Source organism: Homo sapiens, chromosome 22, assembly GCF_000001405.40.
Source record: "Homo sapiens chromosome 22, GRCh38.p14 Primary Assembly".
NCBI classification, from domain to species: Eukaryota; Metazoa; Chordata; class Mammalia; order Primates; family Hominidae; genus Homo; species Homo sapiens.
Genome location: NC_000022.11, coordinates 41,621,231 through 41,638,263, shown reverse-complemented (window position 1 = coordinate 41,638,263; position 17,033 = coordinate 41,621,231). Strand labels below are relative to the sequence as shown.

The 17,033-nt window shown below is 47.9% G+C and overlaps 1 protein-coding gene across 5 annotated transcripts in view, besides 1 other annotated feature; it reads right to left on the bottom strand.

Moving 5' to 3' along the window:
* XRCC6 (X-ray repair cross complementing 6) overlaps positions 1–16,969 on the bottom strand; it is a 42,747-nt gene extending 25,778 nt beyond the window's left edge. Inside the window, exons 1-6 of one of the 5 annotated variants that reach the window (NM_001288976.2) lie at positions 16,854–16,969; positions 16,178–16,274; positions 10,034–10,146; positions 2,013–2,151; positions 1,494–1,748; positions 473–656 (exon numbers count right to left, since the gene is read on the bottom strand). In NM_001288976.2, coding sequence (NP_001275905.1) covers positions 473–656; positions 1,494–1,748; positions 2,013–2,151; positions 10,034–10,146; positions 16,178–16,259 — 773 coding nt within the window. In that variant the 5' untranslated portion in view covers positions 16,260–16,274; positions 16,854–16,969. The remainder of the gene's footprint in view (positions 1–472; positions 657–1,493; positions 1,749–2,012; positions 2,152–10,033; positions 10,147–16,177; positions 16,275–16,853) is intronic. The other 4 variants (NM_001469.5, NM_001288977.2, XM_047441304.1 and 1 more) reach the window with 4 other exon arrangements.
* Positions 7,206–7,859: an enhancer, noted in NCBI's record as "NANOG-H3K27ac-H3K4me1 hESC enhancer chr22:42026409-42027062 (GRCh37/hg19 assembly coordinates)". NCBI's record gives its function as "activates a minimal SCP1, AML or CMV promoter by ChIP-STARR-seq in primed H9 embryonic stem cells {active_cell/tissue: H9 hESC(primed)}" and the evidence as "EXISTENCE:reporter gene assay evidence [ECO:0000049][PMID:30033119]".
* Positions 16,970–17,033: the final 64 nt, after the last annotated feature.

Sequence of the window (17,033 nt, the reverse complement as noted above, 5' to 3'; positions counted from 1 at the left end):
CTATCATTAATTAACACATGACTGTACTAGTGAGTACAGCTAAGGATACTCTTAGACCATAACTGTCTACCCCCACGAAATGGAGGGCTGTGTTACTTTAGAGAAATATCATGCCAGCTCTTGCCAGAGATAAAGCAGCAAATAGCTTCTGCTATCCTGAAATAAACTATTTTAGAGGAAGACAGTGAGGCAGTGGCATAGTCGAGTTAAGTAGCCAGTCAGGTCAGAGCAATGTATTGCTTCTGGTTTGTTAAGCAATGTGTAGCAGTGCATTGCTTCTGATTTTTTTTTTTTTTTTTTTAGGTAGAGAGAGGGTCTTGCCATGTTGCCCAAGCTGGTCTCAACTCCTAGGCTCAAGCAATCCGCCTGCCTTGGCCTCCCAAACTGTTGGGATTACAGGTGTGAGCCACCGCGCCCAGCCTGCTTCTGATTTAAGGGCAGTGTAGGCAGCTGACCCGGGCTGAGTGCACACCTGCTGAGTGCTCGCTTCCTGGTCTCCTTGGCGCGAACCTTCCGCAACAGGTCTTCTAGCTTGCTGGATTCCTCAAAGTGAACCCTGAGGTCCTCATCCTCTGCTATGCTGATGATATCTCTGTAGAACAAGGATATGTCAAAGCCCCCAGGTTTCTTCAGGTGCATCAAGTCAAGGAAGATGCCTGTTGCAAGGGTAAACAAAAGTGAGGGAGGAAAAAACAATTTTCAGCAAGTGAGAAGTTCTTTCAGTTAAAACTGAAACATGCTTTTAAAAGCTCCCTGAAAACTAGACTATTAACATTTTCAGGACTTAGAAAAAGTGACTAAGGAAACCAACTGCTATAATGACTTCAGACAACTTTTCAAATAATCACCATTCGTGGTAATATTAAAGTCAAGACAACTGGCCAGGCACAGTGGCTCACATCTGTCATCCCCAGCACTTTGGGAGGGCGAGGTGGTGGATCATCTGAGGTCCAGAGTTCGAGACCAGCCTGGTCAACGTGGTGAAACCCCCATCTCTACTAAAAATACAAAAATTAGCTAGGCACAGTGGTTCATGCCTGTAATTCCAGCTATTTGGGAGGCTGAGGCAGGTGAATCGCTTGAATCTGGAAGGCGGAGGTTGCAGTGAGCCAAGATTGTGCCACTGCACTCTAGCCTGGGGGACAGAGTGAGACTCCGTCTCAAAAAAAAAAAAAAAAAAAAAAATCAAGACAATCTTGTTCTGACAGAGTCCTTTAGACAGCTAATGGCATGGCCATCTGCAGTGTTAATGTTACACAGGCATCTTCTGGCTTCACTTTATTTTTTTATTTTATTCTAAATGGTAAAAAGCACATGCCTGAAGTCAGGTACACAGAAAGCAATAAAACTGCACTGGGCACAACAGCACATGCTTATAGTCCCAGCTACTTGGGAGGCTGAGGCTGAGCCAAGACTCCTGAACTCCTAAAAAAATAAAAAATAAAAAAACAATAATTAAGTGCCAATTTAAGAGAACGGGGAAATATGCCCACCTGTATCTCGGAGATCACCGGCTTTGGTCCTGGCCCGGCTGGCTTTGGCACTGTCATTGCCATGGGGGTTGTCTTCATTGGTGAACAGCATGATCCTCTTATGACTCATCTTGAATTGGACATCACTAAAGAGGTTGGCACAGACCCACAGCACTTCACTGAGTGAGTAGTCAGATCCGTGGCCCATCATGTCTTGGAAACGTTTTTGTCCCTGCTGCCCCTTAAACTGGTCAAGCTCTAGAATTCGTTTTGCACCTGATCAGAGGCAGGGAGTCAAATGGAAAGAAAAATCAGAAGAATGTCAGTGGCTGCCTTTACCACAAGACTAACAGAAGGACCCTTTTTCACCCCAGAGCTGTTTAACCCATTTAACAAAGTCCACATCGAGCAAGGTCCCCTTATGGAGGAAAGCATACTCCTAGACAAGATGTAACTTGCTTCCTTCTCCACAGTCCTCTTTGATCAGAGTACTGATATTCTCATATATAAGGGAAAAGCTGATCTTAAAATATTACTGACCTGGATTATCCAGCTCCTGTAAGACGTAAATATTTTTAAAATTCACTGAATTTTTGTCTTTCTCGGTACCATAGAACACCACAGCCAAGAGATCTCGATCACTGCTTATGATCTTACTGATGTACACACTTTGGATACACTGAAAAAAAAAATTCAATTAATATTTACTTACCACTAAATGGAAGCTCCATAAGTGCTCAGTACCTATTAGTTGCTCAAAATATGTGCACTGAATTTGTATATGGCACTAAAATAAGGCAAGATCCCTACCTTCAGGGGTAATGAATCAGTGAAAGTAATGGGCATAAATATCAAATTTTAACAAAAACCAGAATGCAGTAAGTATACATTAGAAGTATAAGCAGTCCCTGCCATTGAAATCAGAGAATTAACAATACGTATATTCAGGCCAGGCACAGTGGCTCACATCTGTAGCAATCCCAGCACTTTGGGAGGCTGAGGTGGGAGAATCACTTGACCCTAGGAGATCGAGACCAGCCTGGGCAACATAGTGAGACTCCATCTCTACCAAACAAAAAAAAACAAAAAAATTAGCTGGGCATGGCAGCACAGGGTCCCAGTTACTTGGGAAGCAGAGGTGAAAGATCGCTTGACCCCAGGAGGTGAAGGCTGCAGTGAGCAGAGACTGCACCACTACAGTCCAGCCTGGGCAACAGAGTGAGACCTTATCTCAAGAAAAAAGGAAAAGAAGTATCAGAGGGAGGAAATTGTGCTATGGGAGTTGGGGCGAAGCAAAGCATTGGAATCAGAAAACCTGGAGTTGAGTCCTACTGATGTCACTTACTTAACTGGCTGAATTTGGACAGGTCATGTGATCTTTCAAGTACCTTGGTATCAGGAAACAGAGTTTATATACACAGTTGGCCCTCCATATCTGCTGGTTCTGCATCTATGTATTCAACCAACCTCAAATCTCAAATATTCAGGAAAAACAAAGAAATTCCCGTTTCAAAAAGCAAAACCTGAATTTGCCATGTGCCAAGTACTACATTGAAGCCATGTGAATGAAGTGATGCATAGGCATTGTATTAGGTACTATGAGTAACCTATAGATGACTTAAAGTATAGGGGAGGATGTGTGTAGGTTATATGCAAATACTATGCCATTTTATTTAAGGGACTTGGGCATCCTCGGATTTTGGAATCCACGGGGAGTCCTGCAACCAATTCCCTCAATAACAAGGGATGACTATATAAAATAATTACAATGCTTAAGTACATGTGACCTGAAAATAAGTCAATAACTACCAGTAAGCGCATCCTTGAAATAAAACTGTTTAACTACCCAGTTAAAGACATCAGTATTCCAGTAACAGGAAAGGTCTACCCCTCTATATAAACTAATGTCAGCATCTGGTACATCAGGTCTTGTAAGAGCTCATCAGTTCACCCAGGCGCGGTGGCTCATGCCTATAATCCCAGCACTTTGGGAGGCCAAGGCGAGCAGATGACGAGGTCAGGAGTTCGAGACCATTCTGACCAACATGGTGAAACCCCAACTCTACTAAAAATACAAAAATTAGTTGGATGTGGTAGCACGTGCCTGTAATCCTAGCTACTCAGGAGGTTGAGGCAGGAGAATCGCTTGAACCCAAGAGGTGGAGGTTGCAGTGGGCTGAGATTGCGCCACTGCACTCCAGCCTGGGCAACAGAGCGAGACTCCATCTCAAAAAAAAAAAAAAAAGAGAGTTCATCAGTTCTAGGGGCCTACCTAATTCTGGAGCACTAACAAAATTAAGTCTTCGGGCCAGGTACAGTGGCTCATGCCTATAATCCCAGCACTTTGGGAGGCCAACACAGGAGGATTGCTACAGAAGTTTGAAACTAGCCTGGGCAACATGGCAAAACAATGTCTCTACAAAAAACAAAAAAATTAGCTGGGCATGCACATGCTTGTAGTCCCCACTACTCAGCTACTCAGGGGTGCTGAGGCAGGAGGATCACCTGAGCACAGGAGGTCAAGGCTGCAGTGGGCAGAGATCATGCCACTGCACTCCAGCCTAGATGACAGAGCGAGACCCTGTCTCAAAAAAAAAAAAAAAAATTAAGTTTTGGAACCTGCAAAGCTGAGGAATAAACCAACCATGGTGATCCCCTCCATGTCCTGCCTGAGCTCTAGCTGGCCTTCGTCCACAGCTATTCTCTCCTTAAATGCAGAACATGTACTATAGCTAGTCACTGACAACAATCCACATGGCAAGTAGTCATTTCCATAAATATTTTAATCTACTCTGAGGAGTCTACAAACTTTTAAAAGAATCTGGTAAGGGCTCCTTTTAGGTTCTAAAAATTAAAAACAAAAACTAAAACAGAATTTTAGAAAATGTTTTCTATTGCTTATCAACTACTGAATACTTATTATCGGTTATCAAATTGTGCTCATCTATGAATGTCTCATTTCCTTCCTACCTAACACTACATTTTCTTCTGAGGTCTTTAGGCATCAAGGGTTCCATTAACTCTCTGAAATTACAGGTAGAATTGTGAGTACTATCTTTTTTGAGGGGAAGGTATGTAGCTGTCATCATATCCTCAAAGAGGTCCACGGTTGGCCAGGTGCGGTGGCTCATGCCTGTAATCCCAGCACTTTGGGAGGCCGAAGTGGGCAGATCACGAGGTCAGGAGATGGAGACCATCCTGGCTAACATGGTGAAACCCCATCTCTACTAAAAAACAAGAACAAAAAATTAGCCGGGTGTGGTGGTGGGTGCCTGTAGTCCCAGCTACTCAGGAGGCTGAGGCAGGAGAATGGTGTGAACCCAGGAGGCAGAGCTTGCAGTGAGCCAAGAGCCAGGGCAGCAAAGCGAGACTCCGTCTCAAAAAAAAAAAAAAATAGGTCCACGGTCTAAAAAAGGTTAAAGCACTGCTCTTCAAAGTAATGGTCTCCAAATCAGTAACATCAGCATCACCTGACAATTTACTAGAAATGCAAATTCTTGGTCCCCATTCTAGACATAGAGAATCAGAAATTTTGATTGTGGGGCAAGGTTCTGTAGTCTGTGTTTTAATGTCCTGCAAGTAATTCTGTTTGAGAACCACTTTAAATTAACGATTGTTTTTATTCATAGTTCTATTATTTTATTTTACATACACTTTTTTTTTTTGAGACAGAGTCTGGCTCTATTGCCCAGGCTGGACTGCAATAGTGCCATCTCGGCTCACTGCAACCTCTGCCTCCCAGGTGCAAGCGATTCTCCTGCCTCAGCCTCTGGAGTAGCTGAGACTACAGGCGCACGCCACCACACCCAGCTAATTTTTGTATTTTTAGTAGAGACGAGGTTTCACCATTTTGGCCAGGATGGTTTTGATCTCTTGACCTCGTGATCCGCCCACCTCGGCCTCCCAAAGTGCTGGGATTACAGGCATGAGCCACCGCGCCCAGCCTTTTCTTTTTTTTTTTTTTTCCAAGAGACAGGGTCTTACTCTGTTGCCCAGGCTAGAGTTCACTGGCACAATCATAGCTCAGTGCAGCCTCAAACTCCTGGGCTCAAGCAATCCTCTCACCCCGGCCTCCTGAGTAGCTGGGACTACAAGTGCACACCACCACACCCAGCTTATTCTTTTTTTTTGGTGCAAGATATTCTGGTGTGCCAACTACAAGAACTATTTCTTGTTTTCTTGAGATGGAGTCTCTCTCTGTCACCCAGGATGGAGTGCAGTGGCGTGATCCTGGCTCACTGCAACGTCCACCTCCCCAGTTCAAGCAATTCTCCTGCCTCAGCCTCCTGAATAGCTGCAACTACAGGCCTGCACTACCATGCCCGGCTAATTTTTGTATTTTGAGTAGAGACAGAATTTCACCATGTTGGCCAGGCTGGTCTCGAACTCCTGACCTCAAGTGATTCACTCACCTCAGCCTCCCAAAGTGCTGGGATTACAGGCGTGAGCCACCACACCCTGCCTACCAAGAACTATTTGTACACAAATTAGAACATGAAAAGTTTCTGTTCAGTTCCAAATTCTAAAATTATGAGACATGAGATATATAATAAATCTGTGAAAATTCTTCTCTACGAAGTACACAAAAGAAACAGTAATCCCTCTCCCTCTCCCTCTCCCTATCCCTCTCCCCACGGTCTCCCTCTCCCCACGGTCTCCCTCTCCCTCTCTTTCCACGGTCTCCCTCTGATGCCGAGCCGAAGCTGGACTGTACTGCTGCCATCTCGGCTCACTGCAACCTCCCTGCCTGATTCTCCTGCCTCAGCCTGCCGAGCACCTGCGATTGCAGGCGCGTGCCGCCACGCCTGACTGGTTTTCGTATTTTTTTGGTGGAGACGGGGTTTCGCTGTGTTGGCCAGGCTGGTCTCCAGCTCCTAACCGCGAGTGATCCGCCAGCCTCGGCCTCCGGAGGTGCCGGGATTGCAGACGGTGTCTGGTTCACTCAGTGCTCAATGGTGCCCAGGCTGGAGTACAGTGGTGTGATCTCGGCTTGCTACAACCTCCACCTCCCAGCCGCCTGCCTTGGCCTCCCAAAGTGCCCAGAGTGCAGCCTCTGCCCGGCCGCCACCCCGTCTGGGAAGTGAGGAGTGTCTCTGCCTGGCCGCCCATCGTCTGGGATGTGAGGAGCCCCTCTGCCTGGCTGCCCAGTCTGGAAAGTGAGGAGCGTCTCTGCCCAGCCGCCATCCCATCTAGGAAGTGAGGAGCGTCTCTGCCCGGCCGCCCATCGTCTGAGATGTGGGGAGCGCCTTTGCCCCGCCGCCCCGTCTGGGATGTGAGGAGCGCCTCTGCCCAGCCGTGACCCCGTCTGGGAGGTGAGGAGCGTCTCTGCCCAGCCGCCCCATCTGAGAAGGGAGGAGACCCTCCACCCGGCAACCGCCCCGTCGGAGAAGTGAGGAGCCCCTCTGTCCGGGAGCCGCCCCGTCTGAGAAGTGAGGAGCCCCTCCGCCCGGCAGCCACCCCATCTGGGAAGTGAGGAGCCTCTCCGCCCAGCAGCCGACCCGTCCGGGAGGGAGGTGGGGGGTCAGCCCCAGCCAGGCCAGCCGCCCCATCCGGGAGGTGAGGGGCGCCTCTGCCCAGCCGCCCCTACTGGGAAGTGAGGAGCCCCTCTGCCTGGCCAGCCGCCCCGTCCGGGAGGGAGGTGGGGGGGTCAGCCCCCCGCCCTGCCAGCCGCCCCGTCCAGGAGGGAGGTGGGGGGGTCATCCCCCCACCCGGCCAGCAGCCCTGTCCGGGAGGTGAGGGGCGCCTCTGCCCGGCCGCCCCTACTGGGAAGTGAGGAGCCCCTCTGCCCAGCCACCACCCCGTCTGGGAGGTGTGCCCAACAGCTCATTGAGAACGGGCCATGATGACAATGGTGGTTTTGTGGAATAGAAAGCGGGGAAAGGTGGGGAAAAGATTGAGAAATCGGATGGTTGCCGTGTCTGTGTGGAAAAAAGTAGACATGGGAGACTTTTCATTTTGTTCTGTACTAAGAAAAATTCTTCTGCCTTGGGATCCTGTTGATCTGTGACCTTACCCCACAACCCTGTGCTCTCTGAAACATGTGCTGTGTCCACTCAGGGTTAAATGGATTGAAGGCAGCATGCTCGTTAAGAGTCATCACCACTCCCTAATCTCAAGTACCCAGGGACACAAACACTGCGGAAGGCCTCAGGGTCCTCTGCCTAGGAAAACCAGAGACCTTTGTTCACTTGTTTATCTGCTGACCTTCCCTCCACTATTGTCCTATGACCCTGCCAAATCCCCCTCTGTGAGAAACACCCAAGAATGATCAATAAAAAAAATAAATTAAAAAAAAAAAAAAAGAAACACTAATCTTTTTAATTAAGCTGAAATTTAGATTTTCTAAGTGAACAATTAAGAGGTATTTAATACATTCACAATGTGCCAGGCATAGTGGCACATGCCTTAACCCCAGCCACACAGGAGGCTGAGGTGGGTGGATTGCTTGAGCCCAGGAGTTCCAAACCAGCCTGAGCAATAGTGAGACACCATCTCAAAAAAAAAAAGCAAGGCCGGGTGCCATGGCTCACGCCTGCAATCCCAGCACTTTGGAAGGCCGAGGCGAGCAGATCACGAGGTCAGGGGTCCAAGACCATCCTGGCCAATATGGTGAAACCCCATCTCTACTAAAAATACAAAAATTAGCTGGGCATGGTGACACGTGCCTGTAATCTCACCTACTCGGGAGGCTGAGGCAGGAGAATCGCTTGAACCAGGGAGTCAGAGGTTGTAGTGAGCCAAGATTGTGCCACTGCACTCCAGCCTGGTGACAGAGCGAGACTCCAACTCAAAAAAAAAAAAAAAAAAAGCATAAATGCACACACAAGGCTGGGCGCAGTGGCTCACACCTGTAATCCCAGCACTTTGGGAGGCCGAGGCAGGCGGATCACTTCAGGAGATTGAGACCATCCTGGCTAACACGGTGAAACCCCGTCTCTACTAAAAACACAAAAAATTAGCCAGGCATGGTGGCAGGTGCCTGTAGTCCCAGCTACTCTGGAGGCTAAGGTAGGAGAATGGCATGAACCCGGGAGGCGGAGCTTGCAGTGAGCCAAGATCACGCCACTGCACTACAGCCCGGGTGACAGAGCGAGACTCCGTCTCAAAAATAATAATAAAAATAAATAAATAAATAAATACACACACAAACATTCACAATGTTGTGCAACTACCAACTCTAGTTCCAAAAAATTTTCATCACCCCAAAAGCAAACCCCATACCCATTGAGCAGTTGCTCCCTGTTCCTCTCTTCCCTGTGCCTCAGGTAACCAACCACCCCTCTGCGTTAAGAACTTACCTATTCTGGATATTTCATGTAAATGAAATCATACAATATTTGACTTTTTGTATCTGGCTTCTTTCACTTAGCATAATACTTTCAAGATTCATCTACTTTGTAGTATGTATCAATTATTCATTCCTTTTCATGGAATGTATATCTATATGCCACTGTTTAGCCATTCAAAATGTTTTGGAATAAGATAGAGGTGGTGGCTGCATAACATTGTGAATGTGTTAAGTGTCACTGAATTGTATACTTTCAAATAGTTAATTTTATGTTACATGAAACACAACCTCAATTTAAAGAAACAAGAACAGGTCAGGTACAGTCAATCACGCCAATTTCTCCACAGCCTTGCCAACACTTATTTTCTGCTGGTGTTTTTTAAATTTTAGTTTGTTTATATAGTGGGTGTGAGTGGTAGCTCATTATGGTTTTCATTTGCCTTTCTCTAATGACTAAACATGCTGAGTATCTTTTCCTGTGCTTGTTGGACATCTGCATATCTTTGGAGAATTGTTTTTTTTTTTTTTTTTTTTTTTTGAGACAGAGTCTCACTCTGTTGCCCAAGCTGGAGTGCAGTGGCACAATCTCGGCTCACTGTAACCTCCGCCTCCTGGGTTTAAGAGATTCTCCTGACTCAGCCTCCCGAGTACCTGGGACTACAGAAGCGCACCACCATGCCTGGCTAATTATTTTTGCATTGTTAGTAGAGACAGGGTTTCACCATGTTGGCCAAGCTGGTCTCCTGACCTCATGATCCGCCTGCCTCAGCCTCCCAAAGTGCTGGGATTATAGACATGAGCCACCACGCCCAGCTGGAGAAATGTCTTTTCAAGTCCTGTGCCTGTTTTAAAATTGAAGTTGCCTTTTTATTGTAGCCATCTTCCCCAACCACAGGCAGTAGTCAACTCCCAAGTATCACTCACTCTTTTCCACACTATAACTGTGGGAACTTCCCTTCTTCCTTTATACTTCCATCTCTGCAAGAGGAGGAGCCTACTTCTTTTTTCTGTTTGACCTCCTGGGCTCAAGCAAGCCTCTCGCCTCGGCCTCCTGAGTAGCTAGGACTACAGGTTTGCACCACCACACCTGGATGATTTGTGTATTTTTTGTAGAGACGGGGTTTCTCCATGTTACCAGGTTGGTCTCAAACTCCTAGGCTCAAGTGATCTGCCCGTCTCGGCCTCCCAATGTCCTGAGATTACAGGCATGAGCCGCCACCATGCCCAGCCAATACTGTTTTTAAATTTGTCTTAAATTAAAAGGTAGTCTTACCTGGATGCTCATGTCAAAAGGTGTCAACTCATCTTCACTCTGAGATTCAAACATAGCCTTGGAGGCATCAACCAAAAAAATCAAACTATCTCTTCCTGAATATTTATAGTCTCCTATGGGGAAAAAAATGGAAGAAAATGTTTGTCCTTGTTTTCGTATTTGTTTACCATATAAGATAAATAAAGGCCATAAAGGAAAGTATAACCTAATAAATTATTATAAGGTGAACAACCATAAAATCTCCACCTATGTCAGGAAATTGAGTCTTGCCAGACACCCCAGAAATCCCTCTTACATTCCCTCCCAATTACAACACCCACCTCCCCAAAAAAGTCAATATCCTGACTTTTTTTTCTGAGATAGGGTCACACTCCCATCACCCAGGCTGGAGTGCAGTGACGCGATGATAGCTCACTGCAACCTCGAACTCCTGGGCTCAAGCCATCATCCTGACTCAGCCTCCTGAGCAACTGGGACTACAGGTGTGTGCCACCATGACCAGCTAATTTTTTAAGTTTACTGTAGAGATGGTATTGTGCTACACTGCCCAGGCTGATCTAAAACTTCTGAGCTCAGGCAATCCTCCCCACCAGGCCTCTATTTTTTTTTTTTTTTTTTTTTGAGACGGAGTCTCGCTCTGTTGCCAGGGTGGAGTACAGTGGCACAATCTCGGCTTACTACGACCTCCGTCTCCCAGGTTCAAGCGATTCTCCTGCCTCAGCCTCCCAACTAGCTGGGATTATAGACGCCCGCCACCACTCCCAGCTAATTTTGTATTTTTAGTAGAGACGCAGTTTTACCATGTTGGCCCAGGTTGGTCTTGAACTCCCGGCCTCAGGTGATCCACCCACCTCAGACTCCCAAAGTGCTAGGATTATAGACGTGAGCCACCGCACCCCACCCCGCCCTGGCCTAAGAGCTGGGATTATAGGCATGATCTACCACACACCCACCCCTTACGTTTCTTTATAATTTTATCACCCAAACCTACATTTCTAAACATTAGCTTTGACTTAATTTTCTAAAGCCTCTTCATCTACAGATACCCTCTCTTTTTTCCCTTGTAATTTATCTTCTGAAGAGCCAAGATGCTTTGTGTTATACACTTTTCCACATTCTGAATTTTGCTGATTGCCTTTTTAAAAAAATTAATTAGGCGGGGCACAGTGGCTCATGCCTGTAATCCCAACACTTTGGGAGACCAAGGCGGGAGGATCACTTGAGATCAGGAGTTCGAGACCAGCCTAGCCAACATGGTTAAACCCTGTGTCTACTGAAAATACAAACATTAGGCTGGGCGCAGTGGCTCACACCTGTAATCCCAGCACTTTGGGAGGCCGAGGCGCGCGGATCACGAGGTCAGGAGGTCGAGACCATCCTAGCTAATACGGTGAAACCCTGTCTCTGCTAAAAATACAAAAAAAAATTAGCTGGGCGTGGTGGTGGACACCTGCAGTCCCAGCTACTCGGGAGGCTGAGGCAGGGGAATGGCATGAACCCGGGAGGGGGAGCTTCCAGTGAGCCGAGATCACGCCACTGCACTCCAGCCTAGGTGACAGAGTGAGACTCGGTCTCAAAAAAAAAAAACAAAAAAAAAAACAAACAAACATTAGCCAGGTGTGGTGGTGCCCACCTGTAATCCCAGCTAATCAGGAGGCTGAGGCAGGAGAATCACTTGAACCTGGGAGGCAGAGGTTGCAGGGAGCAGAGATCACACCACTACTCTCCAGCCTGGGCCACAGAGCAAGACTCTGTCTCAAAAAAATAAATAAAAAATAAAAAATTATTTTGGCTGGGCACAGTGGCTCACGCCTGTAATCCCAGCACTTTGGGAGGCCGAGGCATGTGGATCACGAGGACAAGAGATTGAGACCATCCTGGACAACATGGTGAAACCCCATCTCTACTAAAAATACAAAAATTAGCTGCGTGTAGTGGCGCATGCCTGTAATCCCAGCTACTATGGAGGCTGAGGTGGGAGAATCGCTTGAATCTGGGACGCAGAGGCTGCAGTGAGCCAAGATCGCGCCACTGCACTCCAGCCTGCGTGACAGAGCGAGAACCCGTCTCAAAAAAAATAAAAATAAATAAATGGCCAAGCACGGTGGCTCATGCCTGTAATCCCAGCACCTTCAGAGGCCGAGACATGTGGATCACAAGGTCAAGAGATTGAGACCATCCTGGACAACATGGTGAAACGCCATCTCTACTAAAAATACAAAAAATTAGCTGTGTGTGGTGGCGCATGCCTATAATTCCAGCTACTAGGGAGGCTGAGGCAGGAGAATCACTTGAACTTGGGAGGCAGAGATTGCAGCGAGCCGAGATTAGTCACTGCACTCCAGCCTGGCGACAGAGATTCCATCTCAAATAAAAAAATAAAATTATTGAATTAATTATTTTAGAAACAGTCTTGTTCTCTCACACAGGCTGGAATGCAGTGGCGCAATCATAGCTCACTGCAGCCTTGAACTTCTGGGCTTGAGCGATCCTCTGCCGTGGCCTCCCAAAGTATTGGGATTACAGGCATGAGCCACCTTGCCTGGCCTGCCGATTGACCTCTTTTGGTGTAGATTAACAGAGTCCTCTGTCCTTCCTACTAAGGACCTAGAGAGGCTTAATCTGATTCAGGTTTTCTTTCTTCAGCATGACTTTATCATAAGTAACATATTTTTTCCTAAAAAGGTATATAATGTCTGGTCATCTCCAAGTAGCTGGGATTACGGGCATGTGCCACTATGCCCAGCAAATTTTCTGTATTTAGTAGACATGGGGTTTCATCATGTTGGTCAGGCTGGTCTCAAACTCCCGACCTCAGGTGATAGCCTGCCTCAGCCTCCTACTCCCAAAGTGCTGAGATTACAGCCGTGAGCCACTGTGCATGGCCTGCTGCTTCTTAATAAGTTTAATTAGCTGTCTCCTGGAGAACAAAATGGCAATGTGTGTCAAGAACCTTAAACATGCGATGACGCGATCTTGGCTCACCGCAACCTCCACCTCCCGTGTTCAAGCGATTCTCCCGCCTCAGCCTCCTGAGTAGCAGGATTACAGGCATGCGCTACCACGCCTGGCTTATTTTGTATTTTTAGTAGAGACAGGATCTCACCATGTTGGCCAGGCTGGTCTTGAACTCCTGACCTCAGGTGATCTGCCCACCTTGGCCTCCAAAAATGCTGGGATTACAGGCATGAGCCACCGTGCCTGACCTATTTTATTTTATTTTATTTTATTTTTGAGACGGAGTCTCGCTCTGTCGCCCAGGCTGGAGAGCAGTGGCGCAATCTCGGCTCACTACAAGCTCCGCCTCCCGGGTTCACGCCATTCTCCTGCCTCAGCCTCCCGAGTAGCTGGGACTACAAGCGCCTGCCACCACGCCTGGCTATTTTTTTGTATTTTTAGTAGACACAGGGTTTCACCGTGTTTGCCAGGATGGTCTCGATGTCCTGACCTCGTGAGCCACCCGCCTCGGCCTCTCAAAGTGCTGGGATTACAGGTGTGAGCCACCGCGCCCGGCCTTATTTTTTATTTTATTATTATTTTTTTGAGACAGAGTCTCACTCTGTCGCCCAGGCTGGAGTGCAGTGATGCAATCTCAGCTCACTGCAAGCTCTGCCTCCCGGGTTCACGCCATTCTCCTGCCTCAGCCTCCAGAGTAGCTGGGACTACAGGCGCCTGCCACCACGCCTGGCTAATTTTTTGTATTTTTTTAGTAGAGACGGGGTTTCACCATGTTAGTCAGGATGGTCTCTATCTCCCGACCTTGTGATCCACCTGCCTCGGCCTCCCAAAGTACTGGGATTATAGAGGTGAGCCACCGCGCCCGGCCCCTATTTTATTTTTTTTGAGATAGAGTTTCACTCTGTTGCCCAGACTGGAGTGCAGTGTTGCAATCTCAGCTCACTGTAGCCTCTGCCTCCCCGGTTCAAGCAATTCTCGTGCCTCAGCCTCCCAAGCAGCTGAGACTACAAGTGCATGCCACCACAGACTCAGCTAACTTTTGTATTTTTTAGTAGAGATGGGGTTTTGCCATGTTGGCCAGGGTGGTCTCGAACTCCTGACCTCAAGTGATCTGCCCGCCTCAGCCTCCCAAAGTGTTGGGATTACAGGCGTGAGCCACCACACCCAGACAAATTACAGTATATTTATTGAGATTACAAGTGTGAGCCACCACACCCGGCCAAATTATGGTATATTTAAAATGAGCTATAGGCCACGCACAGTGGCTCACACCTGTAATTCCAGCACTTTGGGAGGCCGAGGTGGGTGAATCACCTAAGGCCAGGAGTTCAAGACCAGCCTGGCCAACATGGTGAAACACTGCCTCTACTAAAAATACAAAAATTAGCCGAGTGTGGTGGCGCACACGCCTGTCATCCCAGCTGCTTGGGAGGCTGAGATGGGAGAATAGCCTGAACTGGGGTGGCGGAGGTTGCAGTGAACCGAGATTGAGTCAGTGCACTCCAGCCTGGGCGACAGAGCAAGACTCTGTCTCAATAAATAAATAAATGTATATGCACTATCGTTACAATACAAGAAATCAGATAGGCCAGGCGCAGTGGCTCACACTTGTAATCCCAGCACTTTGGGATGCTGAGTAGGGCGGATCACAAGGTCAGGAGATCAAGACCATCCTGGCTAACACAGTGAAACCCCGTCTCTACTAAAAATACAAAAAACTGGCCGGGCGTGGTGGTGGGCGCCTATGGTCCCAGCTACTCGGGAGGCTGAGGCAGGAGAATGGCATGAACCCGGGAGGCGGAGCTTGCAGTGAGCCAAGATCGCGCCACTGCACTCCAGCCTGGGCGACAGAGCAAGACTGTCTCCAAAAAAAAAGAAAAAGAAATCAGATACAGTCTGGGCATGGAGGCTCATGACTATAAACCTAGAACTTTGGGAGGCCAAGGCTTGGGGGTATCGCTTGAGGCCAAGAGTTTGAGACCAGCCTGATCAACATAGCAAGATCCTGTCTCTACAAAAAATTAAGAAATTATTGGGAGTTGGCGGCACTTGTAGTCCCAGCTACTGAGGTAGCTGAAGCAGGAGGATCACTTGAGCCCGGGAGTTTGAGGTTACAGTGAGCTACGATGATCTCACCACTGCACTCCAGCCTGTCTCTATTAAAAAATTAAAAAATATATATATTTCATTAGGAAATAAATATTGAAAGATACTTGAAAGAAAAATACAAAAATGTCAAAATGCTGGTAGTGGTTGTGTTAGAGTGGTAGATTATAGCAAATTTTTTTCTTTTTTGTATTTCCTATGTTTCTCACTTTTTTTTTTTTCCTGAGAGAGTCTCATTCTGTCACCCAGGCTGGAATGCAGTGGCGCCATCTCGGCTCACTGCAAGCTCCACCTCCCAGGTTCGCACCATTCTCCTGCCTCAGCCTCCCGAGCAGCTGGGACTACAGGCGACCGCCACCACGCCCGGCTAATTTTTTGTATTTTTTTTTTAGTACAGACGGGGTTTCACCGTGTTAACCAGGATGGTCTTGATCTCCTGACATCGTGATCCGCCCGCCTCGGCCTCCCAAAGTGCTGGGATTACAGGCTTGAGACACCGCGCCTGGCCGTTTCTCATTTTTAATAAAAATATTCAAAATTTTTCTGCTCAGGAGTTAAATTAACCAGTATGAAGATTACATGTACCCCTATTTCTCTTCCTTTGTTTTATGTGTTACTGTGTTGCCTGCACATACACTCCCAAACGTGGAGGCTATAGTGAGGGAATCAATCACTTTCCTGTAACTGTGTTGCTTGCGTTTATTCTTTGGTTGGTGTAGTTATTGCAGGGTGGGGGCATTTTTACACTGAGGTCCTGGAATGGTAACACTACTTTCCTGGATGAGAAGGGTCTCACCTGAACCACTTAAGATGACAAAAAATACCTATGGTCATGGCCATTTATCAGGGACCAAAAGATGTCAAACTACCAGTGTCCAAAAAAAACTTAGGGCACACTAGAGTAAGATCTGCATATAAGAGCCTAGGGTAGCTCTGCGAAGTTCAAAGGAAGAAAAGAATTTCAGAATTATCTGGGAGGAGAAGGGCAGGCCATCAAACAGCAAAGTCCATCCAGCAGAGATAGGCAGGGAAGGTCTTTCTTCCACACACCGAATGGCACTACATGCTGAAGTCACTTACCACTTGCTTCAAGGTTCTCTTCTTGTTCTTCCTCTGCTTCTTCATCGCCCTCGGTTTTGTAATATGACTCCCACCCTGACATGTTGGCTACTGCTCACTAGGCGAAAGACGTTAACGTCAGTAACAGGCAAATTTAAATCGAAAAAATACCGACCTCTAGGTTCTTGTGAGATCTGTTCTAAAAGCTTGGTTAGTAGTGAGGAATGTGGACGGTAAATCCTGCTGCCTCGAAAGCTCGGCAGTCGGACTGCATGTAAATGCGCATGGGGGCCATCCCAGTAGCTGCCTCATCTCAGCTATCCCTCACGTTTCAGGGCCGGCGGCGGCCCGCGGAAGCCAGATCCCGGAGGTCCCGCCCCCGACGCCATTTAGACGGTGAGGGATTCCCGCTCCAGGATTCTATGCTGACTAACGGACCCCCTCGTCCTCAATACCGCCCAAAAACCTCCCCAAATTCCTCAATCACGCCCAATGAGATCTCAAACGCAGACAGGCCTCAAGCGCAGGCGGGCCGCAAGCGCAGGCGGGCCTCAAACGCAGGCGGGCCTCAAACGCGAGGTGCCGCCTCCTTCCCGAGGAAGGAGCGTGGTCTCGAGTCTGTCGCTGCTCCTCGGATTCGCACACTTAAGGCTAACGCTAACCCTCTAGCAAGGCTATGGGGGCGCGCGAGACCGACCGAGCGAAGCGGGACGAGGCCAGGCCTAGCTGGCGAACAACACAAATGGATAACGGCCCGCTTACCTTTGGCGCAGGGAAGCGACCAACTTGGACAGAAGACGACAATCCACGCATGCGCGGGCCCTGTACTCGGTCCCAATCAACGCCCTCTACGTCATCACGCATGTGCGCACTATAT